This window comes from Homo sapiens, chromosome 2 (assembly GCF_000001405.40).
Source record: "Homo sapiens chromosome 2, GRCh38.p14 Primary Assembly".
Taxonomy (NCBI): Eukaryota; Metazoa; Chordata; class Mammalia; order Primates; family Hominidae; genus Homo; species Homo sapiens.
Window position 1 is genome coordinate 3,655,911 of NC_000002.12, and position 22,515 is coordinate 3,678,425.

A 22,515-nucleotide genomic window follows, 5' to 3' on the forward strand; every position below is an offset into this window, starting at 1 on the left:
GTGCTTCTGCTGGAGCGCTGCAAAGCCTGTTGCCCGCTCCGGTGGGGGATGTGGGTAGCCTGCTGTCAGCAGAGCCAGCGAGCTCCCAGTGGAATGGGGCGGGGGGAGGAAGAGGTGGGAGGTTGTTGTGCCTGAAGAGTGGACATTTCCTCAACATCAGGTCCCCACCTAGTGAGCGGGACACCCACTTCAGCCAGGGGCTGCGCAGGGGTCGGGAGGAGCCCGTCCAGGCAGCCAGCACCTCCATCATCGCAGGCTGATCTCCTTGCCTCCTGGGAGCCCAGGGAGGCCGGGGATGGCGGCATTATTCTGAGGGTGCTCCAGCCCTTTCCATGAGAATCCTCATGTCTTGGCAGGACCAAGGCAGGAGGGTTGAAGCCCCTACGGAGCTCCGAGAACAGCCTCACGTCTGGCTCAGGCCACTGCTCTGGGACCACCTCTCTGCCAGCTCTTGTTCTCCTCCCGCCCCACAGATGGGTCCACAGGACGTCTGCTGTGCCACGATGGAAAGTTCTGTAGCTGTGCAGCCCAGCCTGTCGCCTCTGCCGCATGTGGCTGTTGGGCACTAGAAACTTACCTCATAAGACAGAGCATCCAAACTTTTAACTTCACTAAATTAAGTTGATTTTAGCGTTAGAGAAGTATTGAATTTAGCATAGCTAGTGGCTGCCACGTCGGATGGGGCAGCTAGCTGGCAGAGCCCTGTGCTCAACCTCTGGCCATGGCCCAGCAGCCCCAGCATCGCCCTGGAGCTTGGAGAAATCTCAAGCCTCAGGCCGTATCTCAAATCTGCAGCGTCAGAATCTGCACTTTAACCAGCTCGTAGGTGATTTGGAAGCACATTAGATTGTAGGAGCCAGCTCGGTGTGGAGGGCAGAGGTCAGGGTGTGGAGGGCAGGGGTCAGGGTGTGGAGGGCAGAGGTCAGGGTGTGGAGGGCAGGGGTCAGGGTGCCTTCTTCCATGGCTTTATCGGTGCCACAGCCTAGGCTTAGCGAAACCACGAGGATAAAAATAGGCCCTTCTGTTCTCCGCACCGTGAGCTTTGTGACTGATCCGAGGCGGCGAGCGGGGGCACTGCACTGCTGTGGCGGGGAAGTCACGGCTGACAAGAACTGCCAGGGACGAAGCCACGTGCATTAATTCATTAAAATACAGTCAGCTATGGAAGGCAGCATAGGATGTGGTTTCGTTCTTAAAGAATTTCATCTGGATGGGCAGACAGATGTGTAAACATGGACTCAAAGGCCGGGCGAGCTGAGATCAGACAACAGGCGCTGGACGCATCCTAACTACGGCTGGGTGGCGGGGCTGAGAGACGGGCTGGGGTTGGGGGTGGGGTTCTCAGTTGGAGGTGGCCTTGAGCCGGCCTTTCAAATGGCTTTGCTTTCCTCTGGGAAAGCTGGAGTTCAGGAGGAGAAGGCCGGTCAGGCCCTGGGGAAAGAAAACCCAGGAAGGAAAAAGGAGCGTGTGGGTGATGGATCTCCCTGGGACGCAGGTTGTCTTTCTGGAGCCCCAAGGGCCCCTGTGCGCGCCATCTGCTGTGCTGGGTTCTGGTTCCAGCTCAGTCCCTCCCTGCGCAGGTGACCTCGGGTGGCTTTCCTGCCTTCAAGGCCCCAGCTGATTCATCTGCAGAGTGGATAGCTTGCCCCGCAGGGTGGCTGTGGTGAAGCAAGGCAACGTCTGTTACTGCATGTCGAAGCCGGGCTCAGCTGTTTCTTTCTGCATGGAAAGTTCTTCTGCAGACAGTGGGGCCTTTGAAGGCAGGCGGCACGTGTTGTTTTGTATGCCACAGGCCTAGCATCCACTTGGCAAGGTGCCCTTTCTTAAGCATCTGTGGGCTTCTTTAAATTCCATGAAAATTTTGTGTGTATTTACTTTTTCTGGGGCTGAGGGGCTCTAGCCAAACCCTCCCAAGGGCCCCTGTCTTCTCTAGTAGGTCAGGACCCACTGCTGGGTGTGCTCAGTGTTTTCTGAGTTAATGATGATTAGTGAATAGGTGACGTCTAGAGATAAAACTTTAAGTCAGGTTACTGGCCGGACCAGGAAGGTGGGGGTTTCAGGCCCAGGCCAGTGGCCGGAGGCAGCTTTGTTAGGGACAGGGAAGGGCCCTGGGACCAGCAGGGACCATGTCTGGCTTCGGGCCTTGTGCGAGGGTCTTGCAGAGGCCTGCTTGGCTTCTCCGGGGAGGGGCTGCTCCCCCTGTTACTTCCACCTCTCTGCAACCCTTGTGACATCATACAGGCACAGCCAATCTCTGCAAAGTTCTGTCTCTACCTCAGGCCCCTATACATTCTCTCTGAGCTGGCACTCAAGCACCGTGGGACCTTGGCTGGCTTCTGGGGAGCAAGAGATCCATTTATGAATACTTGATTTCTGACTGCTGGGTGAGCTGGAGTGTGGTTTATAAATACCTTGCTATCTTTAAGGTGGGCTTTGCCAAAAGAATAGGGTGACAGAGATGAATTTCAGTCATGCAACGAACCCTCGACACTTGGAAGGTGACAGAGGGTAGATGGTGACAGACACCACTTTGTGCCGTTGAACTGTGTTGGTACCGGGCGTGGCCCAAACACCTGGAGGGGCCCCACAGGTGGGTCAGGCTTCTGGGCTCTGGTCACTGCTCTGTTTGGTTTCAAATCATGTGACTTTGGCCTTCTTAAAAAAAAATCTAAAGAGGCTGGGCATGGTGGCTCATGCCTGTAATCCCTGTACTTTGGGAGGCCGAGGTGGGTGGATTGCTTGAGTTGAGGAGTTTGAGACCAGCCTGAACAACATGGCAAGACCCCATTTCTACCAAAAATCAAAAAAATAGCCAGGCATGGTGGTGCGTGCCTGTGGTCCCAGCTACTTGGGAGGCTGACATGGGAGAATTGCTTGAGCCCGGGATGGGATTGGGGTGGAGGTTGCAATGAGCCAAGATCATGCCACTGTACTCCAGCCTGGATGACAGAGTGAGACCCTGTCTCAAAAAAAAAAAAAAAAAAACCTAAACAACTAAGGCCATGGTGAAGTAAACCTATATTCAAAACAAGAGTCACAAAGTAGAACTAAATGTAAATATATACCAAGAGTTGCCGGTAGTCAGGAGTCTCGTGCAGTTGACCTTGGGCTGCTCAGAGTCCCTGCTCAAGGTCACTCTAATTTTGTCCCAAATTTGAACAAACCACTTTTATTATTTCACCATAAATCTCATACTTTTGGCCAAAGGCTTCTTCGGAACTTATTGACAGCGATGACAAAGCCCCTGAAGGTTTTCTTCTTTACGAGGGAGTAACTCTTCCATCAGCACAGCCTTCCCTGCTTGTCAGAGGGAGGTCTCTCTTTCTTGTGCTTCCTAGACTTGCCTGGTCATGCCTTTTCTTATTTTAAGGCTAATCTCAAAAGAAAAAATAGTGTGAGCACCACTTGACTGCCTGAAATTTCATGACTCTATTTTAGAGAGTCATTGCCTCATCGCCTTGCCGTAACCCATGACAATGCTCCTCATTTGCGGTGATTAAGTTGAAATTTGCAGGTAAAACTTTAGCATGTTCCTCAAACATCAGAGCTGACCCTGGGTCTGGTCTCAGCCACAGCAGAAAATGTATTTAAGAGCTCCCTTGAGCAGGCAGTGGGAGGGGTTGCAGCAATGAGCTTAGAAGCAGCTGCCACAGGCTGTCTGAGCACTGTGAGCTGCTGAGCTGGTGGCCTCAGCCGAGGTCGCGTGGCTCCTTCCTTTCTTGCCTAGACCTTGGCTATTTTATCAACAGAAACGGCAGGGACCAGTGAGCAGAGAGCTCAGCAAGCTCATGGCGCAAGAGTCGTGGAGCTGTGACCTCCACCAGGGCTGAGAACGGCCCCTTATACCGCCAGCTCTTGGCTGCCTGGAATCTCTCGGGAACCTCCACGGGGCCCTGCACAGCACAGGCCACTGTGGATACTTCTGGGATTTGTGGCTGAGGAGAGAAACTTAGGAAAGACAAATGTCACGGCCCTTTCACAGCAGACACTGGTTGGGCCTGTGCTGTGGCCTGGAGGCCCAGCTTTAAACGGTCTCTCCTTTCTCACATTTTTTTATCTTAGGGGTGGGGAGACTTTTCACATAACAGCCTTTGAGGTTGTGGGGTGCTATGGTTTGGATGTTTGTCCCCCCAAACCTCATGGTGCAATCAGATCCCCCGTGTTGGAGGTGGGGCCCAGCGGGAGGAGTCTGGGTTATGGGGGCGGATCCCTCATGAATGGCTTGGTGCCGTTCTGGAGGTGGTGAGACGGTTCTTCCTCTGTTAGTCTGGTGAGAGCTGCTTGTTAGGAGGAGCCTGGCGTCCCTCCCACGCTTCCTCTTCTGCCCTGTGGTGGCTGCACGCCGGCTCCCTTCACTTCCTACCAGGAGTGGAAGCAGCCTGAGGCCCTCGCTGGAAGCATATGCTAGCGCCGTGCTTTCTGTACCGCCTGCAGAACCATGAGCCAAGTAAACCCCTTTTTTTAATGAATTGTCCAGCCTCAGGCATTCCTTCACAGCGACACAAATAGGCTAAGACACTGGGAGAACACAGAGAATAAATTTTGCGATATTTGGGGAGATGATGCTGCCTTTACTGTTATTATAAATAAAGTTTCGGTGCCGCCAAAGAAACAGCCCTTGAATATCAATTTTTTTTTTCTTCTCGGCAAGACCATTTACTGCTATAGAAGGGTGTGCCCTCACAGATGGAGCAATGGCGCACACCTGGACAAGGGAGGGGACGGGGTTCTTATTCCTGACGCACGTGGCCCCTGCTGCTGTATCATTCCCCTATTGGCTAGGGTTAGACCGCACAGGCTAAACTAATTCTGATTGGCTGATTTAAAGAGAGTGATGGGGTGAGTGGTTTGGTGGGAAAAATGGTTATGGCAGAGCAGGAAAACGGAATGAGTCAGGGTGGGGCAGGAAATCGGAATGAGTCAGGGTGGAGCAGGTGATCGGAATGAGTCAGGGTGGAGCAGGTGATCGGAATGAGTCAGGGTGGAGCAGGTGATCAAAAAAGGTTGCTTTATGAGGAAGTTAAGTTAAAAGTAGAAGGCAAATAATTGAACATACTGACATACTGATTCTTTGAAGAGAAATTTAGGACTTATATCTAACACTGTTTTTTTCATAATAAAGTGAGAGGGGCTGTGGTTTCAAACAGCATAGGCCTGGGGTCGGACTCATCTGCATTCACAACCCGTCCCCCTCCCTGTTCATTAGCTGAATGACATTGGGTGAGAGCCTCCGTCCCGTCTCTGAGTTCCTTAGCAATGGGTATAATAATGTGTGACTCCAAGGCTTGGAGTACGGGAGATACGGGAACAGATATGGAGCTATAGAGTTCATGCTTAGAGACATCAGTTCCCTTCCTTCTGCTCCTGGCTCATGGTACACACATGTTTTGAAAACCATGCCAGGCATCTGACCTCAATGCACGCAAGCATTTAGCTGCTGGGTCATTGGCAGAAAAGCCTCAAGCAGGGGTTCAGGGAAGGCTTTAATTAAGCTTGGCCTGTGGGGGCTGCTGCCTGGGCTGGATCTGCTGTGAAACAAGAGGAGCTTGATGTTCTAGGAGAAATGCTTGGGGCCCAGGACCATCTGCTGGAGGGAAAAGAATGAGTATTCCCAGAGAAACAGACCAGTGCTGGGGCTGTTCCCTGGAATTCAGGTTAAGTGTCCTGGGCTTGTGAACTGGGCACAAAAGATGCTGCAAGTCTTTGCTTTGGGAAGCTGTCAAGGGTCATTGCCCCTCTCAGCCTAAACCTCTTAGCACCTCTCCGACGATGCTTTTCACTTTGGTGGTGACTGATAACTCTTCTTGGTTGTTGAGAAGTTTGGATGAAAAGCTCTAGGTGTGTATTATAGTTTCATGTTGCTGTTATTACAGGTCCTTAGTGTCTTACAGAATGCAGATTTCTGATCTCATGGTCTGTTTGGCAGACCTCCAGGTAGGCTCATTGGATCCCTCTGCTCTGGGTTTCATGAGGCTGAAATCAAAATCCAGGTGGGCTGGGTTCCCCCTCAGAGGCTCTGGGAGCATCCTCTTCTGCCTTGTTGGGGTTGTGGGCAGAATCCAGCTCCTTCAGCTGGTGGGACTGAGCAGGGGCTGCCCTGACCTCCCAAGGCCTCTCTCAAGTCTCTGCCCATGAGCCCTGAACTTCAGAGCTCAGCCATGATGTGGCTTCTTTCTTTTGAAGCCTGATTCAAAGTCACACTTGGATTCTTTCTGACTTCCTTTTCTGCTCCACAGTTCTGTTTGCAGCCAGAGAAAGTCGCCTGCTTTTAAGGCCTTGTGTGATGATGCTGGGCCCACCCAGATCGTCCAGAATTACCCAGGCCCGTCTTAGGGTCTGTGGCTTCGTTATGTCTGCAAATTCTGCTTTGCATATATGGTGAGAAATACATAGGTCTCAGGATTAGAGAGCATGCATTCTGGAGCACACCCTGCTCACCCAGGGTGGAAGTGTGTACTCCAAGGCCCCGCAGGCAGTTCTTTGTAATTAGCACATCCTGCTCACCACAGGGCGGAAGTGTTTACGCCAAGGCCCTGCAGGCAGGTCATTTGTAATTAGCACATTCCTAGTCATGAGTGGATGCTTTAGGAATTAGTGGCTGATGAGATATACGGACTAATTTCAAGGCGCCACCTGCAGCAGAACCTATGTTACAGCATGAAGAACCCCTGATATTCTTTTTTTATATATAATTTTTATTTTACAAATGTATTGGGTATATGTGAAAGTGTGTTATGTGTATATGATGGATGGTGATCAGCCCAGGGCATTTAGGGTGTCCATTACCTGAGTACAATCCATTCTTCTAGCCTGCAGTCACCCTACTCTCGAAAGAGAATAGTTCTTGACACATAAAACTGGTATGAAATCCAAATTTCAGTGTCCATAAATAAAGTTTTGCTGGAACACAGGTGCCTTCATTCACTTATGTAACGTCTGAAGCTGCTTTGTGTTGCAGTGGCGAGGGGATATAGACCTGCAAAGTGTTTATTACTGGGGGGCCTGGCAATGCTGCGACCCCCAGTGTGATGGAAGAGCACTAGCTTCGGAGTCAGAGGAAGACATGAGTTCACTTTCCATGGGGAGTATGGAAACATAGTGCCTGCACTGTAAGGTGGTTTTAGCGGCAGAAATACCATTGTACCCAGCAATCCCATTACTGGGTATATACCCAAAGAAATGTAAATCATTCTGTTACAAAGACACATGCATGCACCTGTTCACTGCAGTACTATCCATGATAGCAAAGACATAGAACCAACCTAAATGCTCATCAATGATAGACTGGATAAAGAAAACATGGTGCGTATATACCATGGAATACTATGCAGCCATAAAAGATGAGATCATGTCCTTTGTAGGAACATGAATGGAGCTGGAAGCCATCATCCTCAGCAAACTAACATGGGAACAGAAAACCAAACACTGCATGTTCTCGCTTATAAGTGGGAGCTGAACAGGGAGAACACATAGACATGTTGGGGGGAACATCACACACTGGGGCCTGTCGGAAGTCGGGAGGAGGGAGAGCATCAGTGATGAAGAATAGCTAATGGGTGCTGGGCTTAATACCTAGGTGATGGGTTGATCTGTGCAGCAAACCACCATGGCACACGTTTACCTACGGAACAAACCTGCACATCCTGCACATGTACCCCTGAACTTAAAAGTTGGAAAAAAAAAAAGACTCTATGTCAGAAACAGTATCTGCCTGGTGCACAGTAGGTCTTCAATGGTAAGTAGCCAAATAGATGGTTTTGCAGTGTCATTGAGGGTTTCCTATGTTGATGAATGGTTACTGAAAATTTCTAAGATCACTACTAAAAATTGATATTACCTCTAAGGTCATTAATAAGAAAGGATATTGAAATAATGGATCCTTTTCTATAACATGCACAAACATGCTTTGTAAAACCACACACCTGTGCTGTCTGGCAGAACTTTCTGTAATGATGGAAAATCTCTTCTGTTCTGTTCAGTATAGTAGCCATCAGCCACATGTAACTTCCTAGCATGTAAAATGTGGCTCATATGACTGAAGAACTGGATTTTGAATGTCATTAGATTTAAATTTAAATACCATGTATAGCAAGTGGTTCCCACGTCAGTGCAACCATGGAACACTTAGACACCCACTGCCAGCACCAAACCATGTGAGCCTCGTACCCAGCACCTTGTGGTGGGACATCTCTCTTAGTTAAAGGTCTGTCTTTTTTGCCTAAAGACAAAGTAGTAGAAAAGGATATGAGTGGCTGCAGAGCAAACGGTGGCTGAATTTTATACCCCTGCCACCACTTTGCCACCCCTGCTGCTTCTATGAAATGGAAGCAGTTTATTCAACCAGAGGCCAATGTGCCTTTGAAACTTATCTCTATGGTGGCTCCTCTGTAGGATTTTACAAGGGTCTGTTTGTTTTGCGTTTATCTCAAGGTAACACATTTTAAACACATTTGAGTAGCAGGGTCTTAACTACAAATGGAGCTTGGCCAAGAGAATAATAAAAACAGTTTAAGGAAATATTTCTTGGAAGCTGCTGAAAAGGTATCTTTACAACTCCTGTTCTCTAGAGAAGCTTGCAGGCATGGGGGTCAGTGAGTGGACATCGATTTGTGGGAAGGCTAAGGACAAAGGCTATGGAGAATTTTTCACCCCAAGTTAAATTCATTTCTGCCAATTAAGGCAGATGTTTCGGGCCAGGTGTTGTGACTCATGCCTGTAATCCCAGCATTTTGGGAGGCTCAGGTGGGAGAATCACTTGAAAATAGGAGTTCAAGACCTGCCCGGGCAACATAGTGAGACCCTGTCTCTACAAAAAAAGTAAAAATATGGTTTGGTGTGGTGGTGCGCACCTGTAATCCCAGCTACTCAGAGGCTGAGGTGGGAAGATCACTTGAGCCCAAGAGTTTGAGGCTGCAGTGAGCTATGATCGTGCCACTGCATTCCAACCTGGGCAACAAAGAAAGACTCTGTCTCCAAAAAAAAAAACAAAACCAAAACCCCCCCCCAAACCAGATGTTTCCAAATGCTCGATTTCATTTGGAAACACAAACTTAGTCTTGAAAACTGTTATGATTTTTTGAGGTACCACAAATGGCACCTCAAATATATATAAATATATTCAAAAATATTTGTAATGAGCTTAAGGAAAGTGGGTTCACCTAGTTTGAATAACAGGTTTGATGAGTCAGCCTGCCTGTTGACCTCGGGTGGTGCCTGTCGCAGCGAGACGGATCCTGGAAAGGGCCTGTCTGCTTGGCGGCATCAGCTGTAGATGGCATCGCTACACTGACTAATGTTTTCTGAAGACGAGCTTTTATTTATTTCCCAAAGAGAAACATTTCCAGAGGGAGCATTCTTTTCCCTTTTTTTTTGTTTTTGAAGTACTGAGTTGAAGTGTTTTTTTTTAAATTTTATTTTAAGTTCTGGGATACATGTGCGGATGTGCATGTTTGCTACGTAGGTAAACGTGTGCCATGGTGGTTTGCGGCACAGATCAACCCATCACCTAGGTGTTAATCCCCACATGCATTAGCTATTTGTCCTGATGCTCCTCCTCCCCCCACCCCCGACAGGCCGGAGTATGTGATGTTCCCCTTCCTGCGTCCGTGTGTTCTCATCGTTCAGCTCCCACTTATGAGTGAGAACATGTGGTGTTTGGTTTTCTCTTCCTGCGTTAGTTTGCTGAGGATAATGGCTTCCAGATCTACCCAGGTTCCTGCAAAGGACATGATCTCATTCCTTTTTATGGCTGCATAGTATTCCATGGTCTATATGTACCACATTTTCTTTATCCAGTCTATCATTGATGGGCATTTGGGTTGATTCCGTGTCTTTGCTATTGTGAATAGTGCTGCAATGAACATATGCGTGCATGTATCTTTATAGTAGAACTATTTATATTCCTTTGGGTATATACCCAGTAATGGGATTGCTGGGTCAAATTGAAGTGTTTTACTAAGTTGAATGTGAGCTTCAGTGGGGTGGGGCTACACAGAGTGAAGTGTGGAGGCTGCTGGTACCTTGAGAAAGGGTATAAATGCTTTTCTCTTTCTTTTGATCTCTTTCTCTGTTGAATTTACAGCCTCTGGTATATGCATGTAAGATGGAATGCTCTGTGTAGGTTATCGGAGGCACACCAAAGGAAAAGATGAAAGACTGTATGCACAAAAGGCCAGCCTGCACCTCCCGTGCCCTCTGCTTCCCAGGGAAGCCGATCAATACAGATGGAGTGGGTCATGCCCCACGTTACCAGGACCCCTGGCTTCTCCCACCACAGGGGGGTGGCTGGGAGGGAACATTACATTAATTACTTAGGCAAAATGCCTGAGCGCTCTGTACCGGGGCATAGTGAGCTTGCTGGAGCTGATGGGGAAAAAGTTAAGCTGTTTCCAGAGAACCGCTGGTGTATCCAGTGTTTTGTAGTGACTTAGCGTATCACACAGTCGGCAAGCCTCTGCTGTGTGCCCGTGACTGGCCCAGCACTGCGTGATTTTGCGTGGAGCAGAGGACAATGATGAAGGGGTGTGTGCAGGGGGAGCCCGTGGACTTGGTGAGACCCACAGGCCACAGCCAGGCTGCTTAGTCTGTAACCCGCCCACGCTGCAGCCTCAGCATCTACACCCTTCGACCCACAGCCTCCCTGTGTGGAGTGTGCATGTAATCAGGAGAGGCAGATAATAAATATATATGCCCAGCCAGGCTTGTGCTGTGGCACAGCAAACAGGGCAGCGCGCAGTCAGCATCACCCAGCCTTGATGAGCACGCCGCGATGCTGCTACGAGCTCTGTGAAGACGCGATTTTAATTCCAGCCAGTCGGTAGGTTGTGTGTCTGTGTGGCGGTTTAGCACCGTTTCAAATTCTGCATTGCATGGTGGGGGCGACGGTGGTGGGTGAGCTCTGCGTCGTAATCTTTTCGGAGCTCTTCCAGCACAGTCCAGTCAAATCCTCTTTGACGACAGGCCTGTTCCACACCTGTGCTGCTCAGCAGGGAGGCCGCAGGTGCCTAGGGAGCACACAAAATGTGGTCAGAACAAAGGAGGAACTGGATTTTGAGTTTTATATAATTTCAAGTAACTGAAAAGTTTAAATGTGTTAAATACCTAGGTGTGGCCACTGGCTTCCAGATTGGACAATATGGGTCCCAGCAAAGGCACCATCAGCTCCTGTGGTTCCCTGGATCATTGGCCTCCCTGCCTGCACCCATGGTCTCCCCTGCCTGGTTGTCTGTCCTTCCCTATACCACCCAGCCTGGCATCCACCCCTAAAGGGAGGTTCCTGAGCCCGCAGAGCTCACTGAGCGTGTGTCTTCAGTCCCCCGCTGCACCTCGAGGGGGCCTCTGTCACGGCATTCCCTGGGATGGTCACCACCTCGTCTGTCCCCTCCACTGCACCACGAGCCGCTGAAGAGCAAGTGCATGCTCAGCCCCGGGCATGGCGTCTGTGCATCTGGGAGCTCTGCACACGGTGCTGAATGAATGAGCACAGAACCAGGTGGAGTTTGTTTAACCAACACTCCCGTGACACTCATCGAGCTCCAGCGCTCTTCCAGGGGCTTTCCGCTATCAGTCACGTTTGGATACATCGCGGTTGGCCATATGGTTCACTTTGCAGCTGCGGGCTGTGACAACTTACTTGATCTGTCAAAGACGCGTTCCTTTTCACTTGTAGCATGTGAATGATACCAAAATCACAGGTTGTTCTGACGATCGAAATGAGATAAACTGTATGAACAGCGCACGACATTCCTGTGAACTCACAGTAAATGTTAGGGGGTTCACTAAGGACACACTGGTGAATGGAACAAAACTTACTGCCAGTGTGGAGTGCGCATCTAATCCGGAAAGGCAGATAATAAATAAATACATTTTTTTGAGACTGAGTTTCACTTTTGTTGCCCAGGCTGGAGTGCAATGGCACAATCTCGGCTCACCGCAACCTCCGCCTTCCGGGTTCAAGTGATTCTCCTGCCTCAGCCTCCCGAGTAGCTGGGATTACAGGCATGCGCCACCATGCCTGGCTAATCTTTGTATATTCAGTAGAGATGGGGTTTCTCTATATTGGTTAGGCTGGTCTTGAACTCCCGACCTCAGGTGATCTGCCCGCCTCGGCCTCCCAAAGTGCTGGGATTACAGGTGTGAGCCACCGCATCAGGACGATAATAAATATTACAGAGAAGCAGTGACATGTATGCTCATATTATTTGGGAACAAAGATGGGCCCGGATAAGGGGTGTTGGGATGCCTGGGGGCCGTGGGGGCTGACCTGTAAATAGGAGATCAGGGCAGTGTTGCTGAGGAGGTGATTGTCAGGCAAAAGCTTGGAGGGAGGCAAGGAGCAAACACACAGCTGTGTGGGGAAGAGCATTCCTGGCAAAGGGAACCACCTTTGCCAAGTTGCAGAGGCAGGACAGAAGGGAAAGGGCCCTAAGTGAGGGAGGTGCTTGTGGCCAAGGTGAGGAGAGCAGCTTTCATTCTGAGTGAACAGGGAATGACTTTTGTTTCTGAAAGCTTGCTCTGGGGCTGGGCTAAGGACGGCTTGTAGACAGGCAGGGACACATGTGTTGGGGATATTTCATTACCCAGGAGGGAGACGGTGCTGGTGTCTCTCCTCTCCCTCTCTGCCTCTGTGAGTGTGTAATATGCATAATGTGTATGACTTTTTTTTTTTTTTTTTTTTTTTTTTTGAGATGGAGTCTTGCTCTGTCACCCAGACTGGAGTGCAGTGGTGCAATCTCGGCTCACCGCAAACTCCGCCTCCTGGGTTCAAGTGATTCTCCTGCCTCAGCGTCCCAAGTAGCTGGGATTACAGACACCTGCCACCACGCCTGGCTGATTTTTTTATTTTTAGTAGAGACGGGGTTTCTCTATATTAGCCAGGGTGGTCTCGAACTCCTGACCTCAGGTGATCTGCCCACCTCAGCCTCCCAAAGTGTTGGGATTACAGGAGTGAGCCACCGCGCCTGGCCATGTGTATGACTTTGATTGTGAAAAGTTTCAAACATACCCCAGGTGGGTAAAAATATCAGATGGTCCCTGAATATTCCCACTGTCCAGCAGTAACAATGGTCACCAGCACACGCCCATCTCGCTTCACCTTTGCCCTCATACACTTCCTTCCTTCTCAGACAGTTTAGAAGATAATTCCGGCCAGGCACAGTGGCTCACACATGTAATCCCAGCACTTTGGGAGGCCAAGGAGGGTGGATCACCTAAGGTCAGGAGTTTGAGACCAGCTTGGCCAACATGGTGAAACCTCATCTCTACTAAAAATACAGTAATTCCGGCCAGGTGTGGTGGCTCACGCCTGTAATCCCAGCACTTTGGGAGGCCGAGGTGGGTGGATCACGAAGTCAGGAGATGGAGACCATCCTGGCCAGCATGGTAAAACCCCGTCTCTACTAAAAATACAAAAAAATTAGCCAGGCGTGGTGGCAGGTTCTTGTAATCTCAGCTACTCGGGAGTCTGAGGCAGGAGAATTGCTTGAACCCAGGAGGCGGCGGTTGCAGTGAGCTGAGATCATGCCGCTGCACTCCAGCCTGGGTAACAGAGCAAGACTCCGTCTCAAAAAAAACCCTCCCAAAACAAAAATTAGCCGGGCGTGGTGGCAGGCACCTGTAATCCCAGCTACTTGGGAGGCTGAGGCAGGAGAATCGCTTGAACCTGGGAGGTGGAGGTTGCAGTGAGCCGAGATTGCGCCGCTGCACTCCAGCCTGGGTGACAGAGGGAGACTCCATCTCAAAAATAAATAAATAAATAAAGATAATTCCATGTTCTGGGTCCAGTGGGCAGGTGGACAGGATGCTGCACAGACTGGGTGCGAGGAAGGGGTCTGAAGGTGCCACCAAGGCTTTTGCTGGAGCGACCAGGAGGATGGGGCTGCTCCTCCCGGAGGTGGGAGGCTGCGATGGGGCAGGCTGAGGAAGAGCCAGAGCTGAGGCTTGGACCTGTCGGCTTTGAGATTTGATTCAACGTCCAAGGGGAGATGTTTTGAGTTGTCAGATGGAAATTCATGTCGGGAAGGTGCTATGCATTTGGGGATAATTGGAGTGTGGATGATCTTAGGAGCAATGACTCTGGTTGACATCACCAGGGGATGAGGGCGCAGGAGGAGGAGACTCCAGTGAGCCCAGAGGCTTCAGCACAAAAGAACCAGCGAATCAGGATGTCGGGAGCGCCTTCCAGCCCGCAGGTGTGACCAAATCACCCTGGAGGGGCTGTTCCCATTCGTGCTCCTGACCACAGACTATGGAAGTGCCTGTTTGCTTTAAGAAAGTGTCCGTTTCATAGACAAAATGGTATTTTAGAATTAATTATATTCCTGTAATTTCAAGGAAGAGCTGACTTCTCATATCCATGGACTGTTTGTATTCCTTCTTTTGTGAATGAACATAATTCTTAGTGAGGTGTTTTTGTGTAGTTTTTCTCTTTCACCATGAGGGGTAGAGAAAAGGGCTAGGAACAGACGCCACCTCTTGGCTTAGGGGCGGGGAGGCTCTGGGGTCAGGCCAGACTCTCCCTTCCTCCCTCACGGTCTCTTTCCATTTCTCCAAGTCTCTGCTTTCTCAACCTCAACATGAGGGTGCTGGGGAGTTGGGCTAAGTCCCGTGTTAGGACCCGCCATGGCCGCATGGCCCCGAATCTCCCTCGCTGGCCCCGTCTCTGTGGCTCAGTCTCTGCTGGCTCCAGAGCGTGGCCTGGCCTGCGCGTCAGTGGACGTCTGTTCCCGTGTGGGGGTGTTCTTGTGGGCGGGTGGGCTCTGCTGTTTCCCACGTCTAGCCAGGGCCTGCCACCCAGGGTCTCAATACATGTGTTTTGAATGGCTTCAAAGACTATTAAAAGCAAGTTATTATTTTCAAAATTAAAATAATCTCTCTCTTTTAAACAATAAAATAAAATTTTGCATTTTGTGGCGATAGGGTTTGTATAGCTAGTGATATTTTATTTTTAAATACTTTAGAAGGAAGCCATGTTCTAATTCCTTCCCCGTTTCAGCGTGTTTAAGCAAAGTCTCTTTTTAGTTCAACCTCATTGAGCAGAGGGCACCTGTCAGGTACAGTTGACAGTACATCCAGTTCTGTCACTGCCTGACTTTTGAAAGTCTCAAATCTTAGCGTCAGGAGCCTAGACGGGGCCTCACTCACTCCCGCAGCCCCCAAGGTTGACCGAGCTGCCCTCTCCCTTCCAGGAAGCACGGCTGATGCTCCGAAGGAGGGAAGACTGACCCGGTTTCTGGACTTCACCCAGCTGATGGACATGGCATCTGAATCCGTAGGAGGAAAAGTAAGTGGGTCTCTCATGGCCAAACAAGGGTTGAAGGCATCCGTGCTAAGGGCACAACTCACCAGTGCAGAGAACCTCATGCAAGAATCAACAAGAATCAGGCTGAAGTGTTGGCCTGCCCAAGGAAACCCGTTAGCGAGAAAGACTTCCAAAGAATTTATCTTAAATTGGTGACAATTCTCAGCAAGGACAATACTGCCTTAGATTTTGTGTGTTTCACTAGAGGACAGACTGTGGTCCTCTGCTCTAGATAGGCAGGCGGTCCTCTAGCTCTAGTTAGATCTGAGGTCCTCTAGCTGGAGTTAAATCGGAGGTCCTCTGGCTCTGGTTAGATAGGAGGTCCTCTGGCTCTGGTTAGATAGGAGGTCCTCTGGCTCTGGTTAGATGGGAGGTCCTCTGGCTCTAGTTAGATGGGAGGTCCTCTGGCTCTGGTTAGATGGGAGGTCCCCTGGCTCTATTTAGATCCGAGGTCCTCTGGCTCTATTTAGATCCGAGGTCCTCTGGCTCTAGTTAGACCTGTGGTCCTCTGGCTCTGGTTAGATGGGAGGTCCTCTGGCTCTGGTTAGATCGGAGGTCCTCTGGCTCTGGTTAGATGGGAGGTCCTCTGGCTCTGGTTAGATGGGAGGTCCTCTGGCTCTGGTTAGATTGGAGGTCCTCTGGCTCTGGTTAGATGGGAGGTCCTCTGGCTCTGGTTAGATGGGAGGTCCTCTGGCTCTGGTTAGATGGGAGGTCCTCTGGCTCTATTTAGATCCGAGGTCCTCTGGCTCTATTTAGATCCGAGGTCCTCTGGCTCTATTTAGATCCGAGGTCCTCTGGCTCTAGTTAGATCCGAGGTCCTCTGGCTCTAGTTAGACCTGTGGTCCTCTGGCTCTGGTTAGATGGGAGGTCCTCTGGCTGTGGTTAGATCGGAGGTCCTCTGGCTCTAGTTAGATTGGAGGTCCTCTGGCTCTGGTTAGATGGGAGGTCCTCTGGGTCTGGTTAGATGGGAGGTCCCCAGGCTCTGATTAGATGGGAGGTCCTCTGGTTCTGGTTAGATAGGAGGTCCTCTGGCTCTGGTTAGATGGGAGGTCCTCTGGCTCTGGTTAGATGGGAGGTCCTCTGGCTCTGGTTAGATCGGAAGTCCTCTGGCTCTGGTTAGATAGGAGGTCCTCTGGCTCTGGTTAGATGGGAGGTCCTCTGGCTCTATTTAGATCCGAGGTCCTCTGGCTCTAGTTAGACCTGTGGTCCTCTGGCTCTGGTTAGATGGGAGGTCCTCTGGCTCTGGTTAGATCGGAGGTCCTCTGGCTCTAGTTAGATCGGAGGTCCTCTGGCTCTGGTTAGATGGGAGGTCCTCTGGGTCTGGTTAGATAGGAGGTCCTCTGGTTCTGGTTAGATGGGAGGTCCCCTGGCTCTGGTTAGATGGGAGGTCCTCTGGTTCTGGTTAGATAGGAGGTCCTCTGGCTCTGGTTAGATGGGAGGTCCTCTGGCTCTGGTTAGATGGGAGGTCCTCTGGCTCTGGTTAGATCGGAAGTCCTCTGGCTCTGGTTAGATCGGAAGTCCTCTGGCTCTGGTTAGATAGGAGGTCCTCTGGCTCTGGTTAGATCGGAGGTCCTCTGGCTGTAGTTAGACCTGTGGTCCTCTGGCTCTAGTGTGTAATGAGGGTCACCTGGAGAACTCATTAAACATAATGTGCAGAGGCGCTGGGGTGCAGGCTGTGCTCAGAAGCAGTGTGTCTGGTACAGAAAGGGAAGACCCTGTGCCTGCCCCCAGGAAGCTACACTCTAGCAGGGAGACAGATGTAAGTCCAGACCAGCCCTGTGACTGGCACAATGCCAGGGTGCTGGGGGAGCACATGGACTCCAGCCATGGGTAGCCTGGGGGAATTGGGGTGGGAGGGGTGGGGATGGGCCAGCTGAGTGCTGCTGGAGGCAGCTTGCTGGAGAGCAGCTGGCGGGCAGGGATGAGGTGCAGGGTGGTTCTGGCAGAGGTGTCTGCGAGGAGAGCAAGGGAGCCCACATGCTCCAGGTGGCTCAGTGTTTCAAGAACACGCTGCGCGTTTGTGAGAAGAGTTGGGAGCACGAGTCTGGAGAGGTAGGAGAGGCCCCATGTGCCCTGTGAAGCCTTCTGCTGAGGAGCCACAGAGAGATCTGGAGCAAGGGGGATCCTGATATGTCCACCTACCTGCCATTTGAACCCTGGAACAGGTCAACCTCAGCACATCAGGTCTTCCCTCTGCTCTGCCACTCAAACAGCCAGCAGCTCTGAAACAGCTCGTCCTTCCTGCCTTTCGAACTCCTGGGCTGGAGTCAGAGCCTGGGGCAGGGTGCCCTCCAGGCTGCAGTGACCACAGAGTCCTGGCTTGGGTGGAGTGACCACAGCCTGTTTTGCTCAGGAAAATCTGATTTACCTTGTATTCTGGATGTACAATTAGTATCATTGACCTCACTCTCAAAATGATCCTGCTTTGGTGGATGAATGACCAGGACAGCCCACCTGCAGGGTGACCTATGGCGGCCCTTGTGGGTGAACACAGAGGCCCCAACCGCATACGTAACCCAGAGCTTTTTTGGTCATTGCTCGGTTTGTAAAAGTAGCACGAAACCTCTGGTTCATGAAAAAAAGAAAGTTGGTTTATTTGCTTCTTGAGTGTAAGATGTTAGTGCTCTTACCTCCAGATGGTAAAGGAGAATCGGAAAAAAGGGTGGGAAGAGAAGAAGAAGGAGGAGGCAGACAATGAAATGGAAGCATTTCAAGGCATCATGGCTTAACTGCAGATTCTGTCGCTTCCCCTAGGTGATTTCACGTTTTCTTTTTACTTCATCTCATAATGTTTCACTAGGGAATGAAATAAAATGGTATCAGATTTATGGTTGCTTTATCTTTCTTTCTTTCTTTCTTTGTCTAGATTTTATTTGCAACAGATGACTTTTTTGCTCCTGCAGAAAACCTCATAAAGGTATTGTAAATTGACATTCTGCAATGTAAAGGGTTGATGTAGAGAAATCTATGCCGCCTTGTTATTAAAATCTCCCTGTATATTTGGGATGGAGTCATGTGATGTACACTGGCAAATTAGCATATTAGAATGTTAGAAAGACATGCAAATCAGCATGAACTCATGCCAAAACATAGCAGAGACAGGGATCTGAGCAAGTAATTTGGGACTGCATTGTTTCCTGGGGAAAATTCTGAGGTCCTCAAATACTGCTCTTCTGGGTAAGGTGAATTTCATCATTTGTGTTGGGAAGAAAATGGATCTATGTCTTGAATTTTCTGGGAAATGTTTTACCTGCCTAATTATAAAAGTGCAGGACAGCTTATTAAAAAAATAGAGAAAATGCTGACGAACATAGGGAAGAAATGGCGGCCCTGCTGGCGTCCTGCTCCTCCGTCATACCCAGTGTGGAGATGCGAACTCTTGTGCGTGGAGAGACAAACACAGGTGCACATTGAGCTAATGCCCACGTACAGCATTCATGACTGGCCTCCATTGTGGGCAGCGGCCATCTGGTTACCCTGGTGAAATGGTTGCTCTCTGTCTGGGCAGGACCTGGCTGGGTCCAGAGCAAGCTGAAGTATGGCCCTGAGAAGGCACCTTACAGTGTTAACTTACCTATTCCCCAGGAGAAAGTGAAAATAAAATGAGAAAGGGCAACATGAATTAACTTTTTCTAGGTCACACAGTTACTAAATGCCAAAGCTCTTACCATTTTACCACAGGTCCGGTCTTTGAAACACTGAAATGCATGTCTACCTTGACCTAGTTGTTCCACAGATTTACATCGTTTGCACAAGTGGGCAAAAAAATAGGTAGAAAACATTCATTCTGGTATTGTTTGGAGAGGAGATAACCAACCTAAGTGTTCATTGATTGATAGGGAACTAAAGAAATTATAGCTCTTCCAGATATGGACTATTATGTGGCTACTAGAATGAGGTAGGCCTGGCACTGTGGCTCACACCTGTAATCCCAGCACTTTGGGAAGCCAAGGCAGGAGGATCACTTGAGCCTAGGAGTTTGGGACCAGCCTGGGCAACAGAGCAAGACCCCATTTCTGAAAATAAAAAATATTATCCAGGCATGGCTATGTGTACCTGTAGTCCCCGCTACTCAGAAGGCTGAGCTGGGAGGATTGCTTGAGCCCAAGACGTTGAGGTTGCAGTGAGCCATCATCATGCCACTGCACTCCAGCCTGGGTGACAGAGTAAGACCCTGTCAAAAAAAAAAAAAAAAAAGCAAGCTCTCCATTCACTGGCAACAAGAGAGATCCATGTATATTTTATGAGTGTAAAACAGAGTTTGAAGGCGCACACATCAAACAGTGAGATGTGATTATCTGTGAAGAGAGAGGTGGGCTTGGAAATGGGGTGGGAGAGAGGGTAGGGCACTATTTCTTAGATTTTATACTTGAGCATATATATATATATATACACACACACACATATAAACACTTACACACTACATATGTGTATATATAGTCACGCTATAACATCACACGAGACACATATATTTCTCCTTTTTGAAAAAAATAACATTACAGATAAATGTAAAGTTCACCGTTCACCTCCAACTTGAGTGCCAGTCCACGCCCTCCCTTTCCACCATTCACACTGTTGTAGGATGGGAAAATACTTTAGGCTGTTGGGGCTGCTGAAGCAAAATACTGCAGATGGGTGGTGGCTTAAACACAGTGATTTCTTGAAGTTCTGGGGGCTGGAAGTCTGAGACCGAGCCTGAGACAGTAGCAGCTCCAGCATCTGGTGAGGGCCCTCTTGGGATGGCCACCTGCCGCTGATTCCCTCAGGTGACAGAGAAGAGAGGGGAAGCAGGCCATCTCCTGCCTCCTCCCACATGGGCACTCATCCCATCATGGGGGCTCCACCCTTGTGACCTAATCACCTCCCAAAGTCCTCATCTCCGAATACCATCACTCTGGGGATTAGGTTTCAACATACAAATTTTGGTGGGGGACAAACATTCAGTCTGTTGCAGAGAATTCTTCTAATGTATTTTATACACTTAAATACACATATATTCGTAAATATATAAGATATTTTGTATTCTAAATTTATATACATATTTTCACAAAGCACTTAGCATTCTGCACACTTTTTTTGGTGGGGGTGGGGCAGGATCTCGCTGTGATCAGGCTGTCAGGCTGGGGTGCAGTGGCACGGTCATGGCTCACTGCAGCCTCGACTTCCTGGGCACAAGCGATCCTCCTGCCTCACTGGGACTACAGGCATACTCCACTGTGCCCAGCGAATTTTTAAATTTTTTGTAGAGATGAGGTCTCTAGCTCCTGGGCTCAAGCAGTCCTCCTGCCTCGGCCTCCCAAATGGCTGGGATTACAGGCGTGAGCCACCGTGCCCGGCCCTAAACCTGCTTTTCTCACTGCGTGTTTGTGAATGCCATTGGTGCTGATGTGTGTAGACCCAGGCCACCCTCTTAGCTGCCGAATAATAACTGTCCATGTCATCGTGGTCCATTTTATGGCCCCCTTTCCTTGTTGATGCACATTTAGGTTGATGACATTTTGCACGTATTGAAAACATCCTTGTACAAGTGTGTGCACGTGTGTCGGTTTATCCCTGGGACCAGTCCTTGGTTTCTCTCTCTCTCTCTCTTTTTTTTTGAGACAGAGTCTCACTCTGTTGCCCAGGCTGGAGTGCAGTGGCATGATCTCGGCTCACCACAACCTCCACCTCCTGGGTTCAAGTGATTCTCCTGCCTCAGCCTCCCAAGTAGCTGGGACTACAGGCACCCGCCACCACGCCCAGCTAATTTTTGTATTTTTAGTAGAGAGGGGGTTTCACCATGTTGGCCAGGCTGGTCTCGAACTCCTGACCTCAGGTGATCCGCCCTCCTTGGCCTCCCAAAGTGCTGGGATTACAGGTGTAAGCCACCGCACCTGACTAGTTTTTCTCTTTTTTTAAGGAACACACATTTTTAAGGAACATCACATGGCATGAGCCAGTTTTACAACAGGGCTGTTTTCCTGCCACTGGTTCAGTAGCGTGTGTCCCCAGCTTCCCTCACACCGTTCAGTGTCAGTCCAATCACAACAGCAGCAGTAGCAGCAACACACCTGAAACAATCAACCTACCCCCAAAACTAAACACCAAAAAGTTTGGGGCCTTGGAGGTCTGGGGTTTAAGTGGGAGGTGTACCTCCTTCTCTCCTTCTGGGTTCAGAGCAGAGTTTTGCAATTCCTGATGAGTAATGGAAAGGCTGGAGTGTGTGCTGTCTTTAAGATGTGATTTGATTGTAATAACATTCAAAATACCATCAACTTTCATGTATAATGCTAAATACTGGGCACTTACTATGTGCCAGGCACATTTAAGGTTGACAACAGCCAGAGGCGGTCAATAGCACGATGGCTGTTTGCCTTTGACAGAGGAGGAGCACTGAGGCACAGGAAGGTGGGTACCGTTGGCCACGGGTCCCCTGCCTGGGAGGCTGGGCAGGTTGTCACACCAGGGAGTCTGGCGGGATCCCTGGTTGGCGTCTCATGCATCAGCTTCCATCAGAGCATCCCTGCCGCCCTGGGTCCTGCTACCCCTAGTCCCTTCCTCTGCTCCTGCCTGGGGAGATTCCCTAAGCAGTAACGTAAGATCCTCCTTGCACGACTTGATGGAAACAGGGAAAGTATCCCCATGCTGGGCCAGCATAACGATTTCTGAGCATCCACGCTATTTGAGGGTCTTTCATGTCGGCTATTCCAACTTCATGACACTCCTGCGAGGATGCGTGTATCCTCCTCATTCTGGAAGATGAAGAAGTGTGCTCAGCTGTCTAAGGAGGCTGTGTGGGGCATCAGAGACCATGCATTTCCTCAGGGGGTTGCAGAGTGTGCTGTGTGGTTTCACCTGGACCCTGAGCGTCCAGCCTACTCTTCCTATGACTTTGGATGAATTCCTGATTGAATAGTCTACCTGGCCTGCTTGGAAATCTGACCAGCCTCTCTCACTTTAATACCCATGTAGGTTGCTGTTGGGAATTGCATTTGTGCGGCCCACAGAGTGCCTGGTGATGTGGTTGTACCTGCTGCTATCAGTGGTCAATTCTGTGTGCTGAGGCCCACAAAGAAGTCACATTTCTTTCTCTGAAGATGATAAAAGCGGAGGCATCTCTCAATCTGGAAGGGGCTAGCTGGGCATGAAGGTGGTGGCAGAGGCTCCCCTAGACCCCGGTTTGCACCGTTCCTCTGGCACTGTGGGACAGAAGTGGACTTGCTGGAAGCCAGGAGATC

At 49.8% G+C, this 22,515-nt stretch overlaps 1 protein-coding gene across 4 annotated transcripts in view, besides 2 other annotated features; it reads left to right on the forward strand.

Moving 5' to 3' along the window:
• Positions 1-22,515, forward strand: part of ALLC (allantoicase) — a 56,853-nt gene that overhangs the window by 10,092 nt on the left and 24,246 nt on the right. The window contains exons 1-3 of one of the 4 annotated variants that reach the window (NM_018436.4): positions 2,290-2,384; positions 15,186-15,280; positions 18,165-18,215. In NM_018436.4, the coding sequence (NP_060906.3) occupies positions 15,248-15,280; positions 18,165-18,215 (84 nt within the window). In that variant the 5' untranslated portion in view covers positions 2,290-2,384; positions 15,186-15,247. Of the gene's footprint in view, positions 1-2,289; positions 2,385-15,185; positions 15,281-17,934; positions 18,053-18,164; positions 18,216-21,169; positions 22,456-22,515 lie in introns of those variants that run through there. The other 3 variants (XM_011510369.3, XM_017004495.2, XM_017004496.3) reach the window with 3 other exon arrangements.
• Positions 4,159-4,435: a silencer, noted in NCBI's record as "fragment chr2:3707659-3707935 (GRCh37/hg19 assembly coordinates)". NCBI's record gives its function as "represses an EF-1alpha promoter that drives an FKBP-Casp9 reporter gene in an ReSE screen in HepG2 liver carcinoma cells {active_cell/tissue: HepG2}" and the evidence as "EXISTENCE:reporter gene assay evidence [ECO:0000049][PMID:32094911]".
• Positions 6,283-6,392: an enhancer, noted in NCBI's record as "active region_15238". NCBI's record gives its function as "activates an Ori minimal core promoter by ATAC-STARR-seq in GM12878 lymphoblastoid cells {active_cell/tissue: GM12878}" and the evidence as "EXISTENCE:reporter gene assay evidence [ECO:0000049][PMID:35858748]".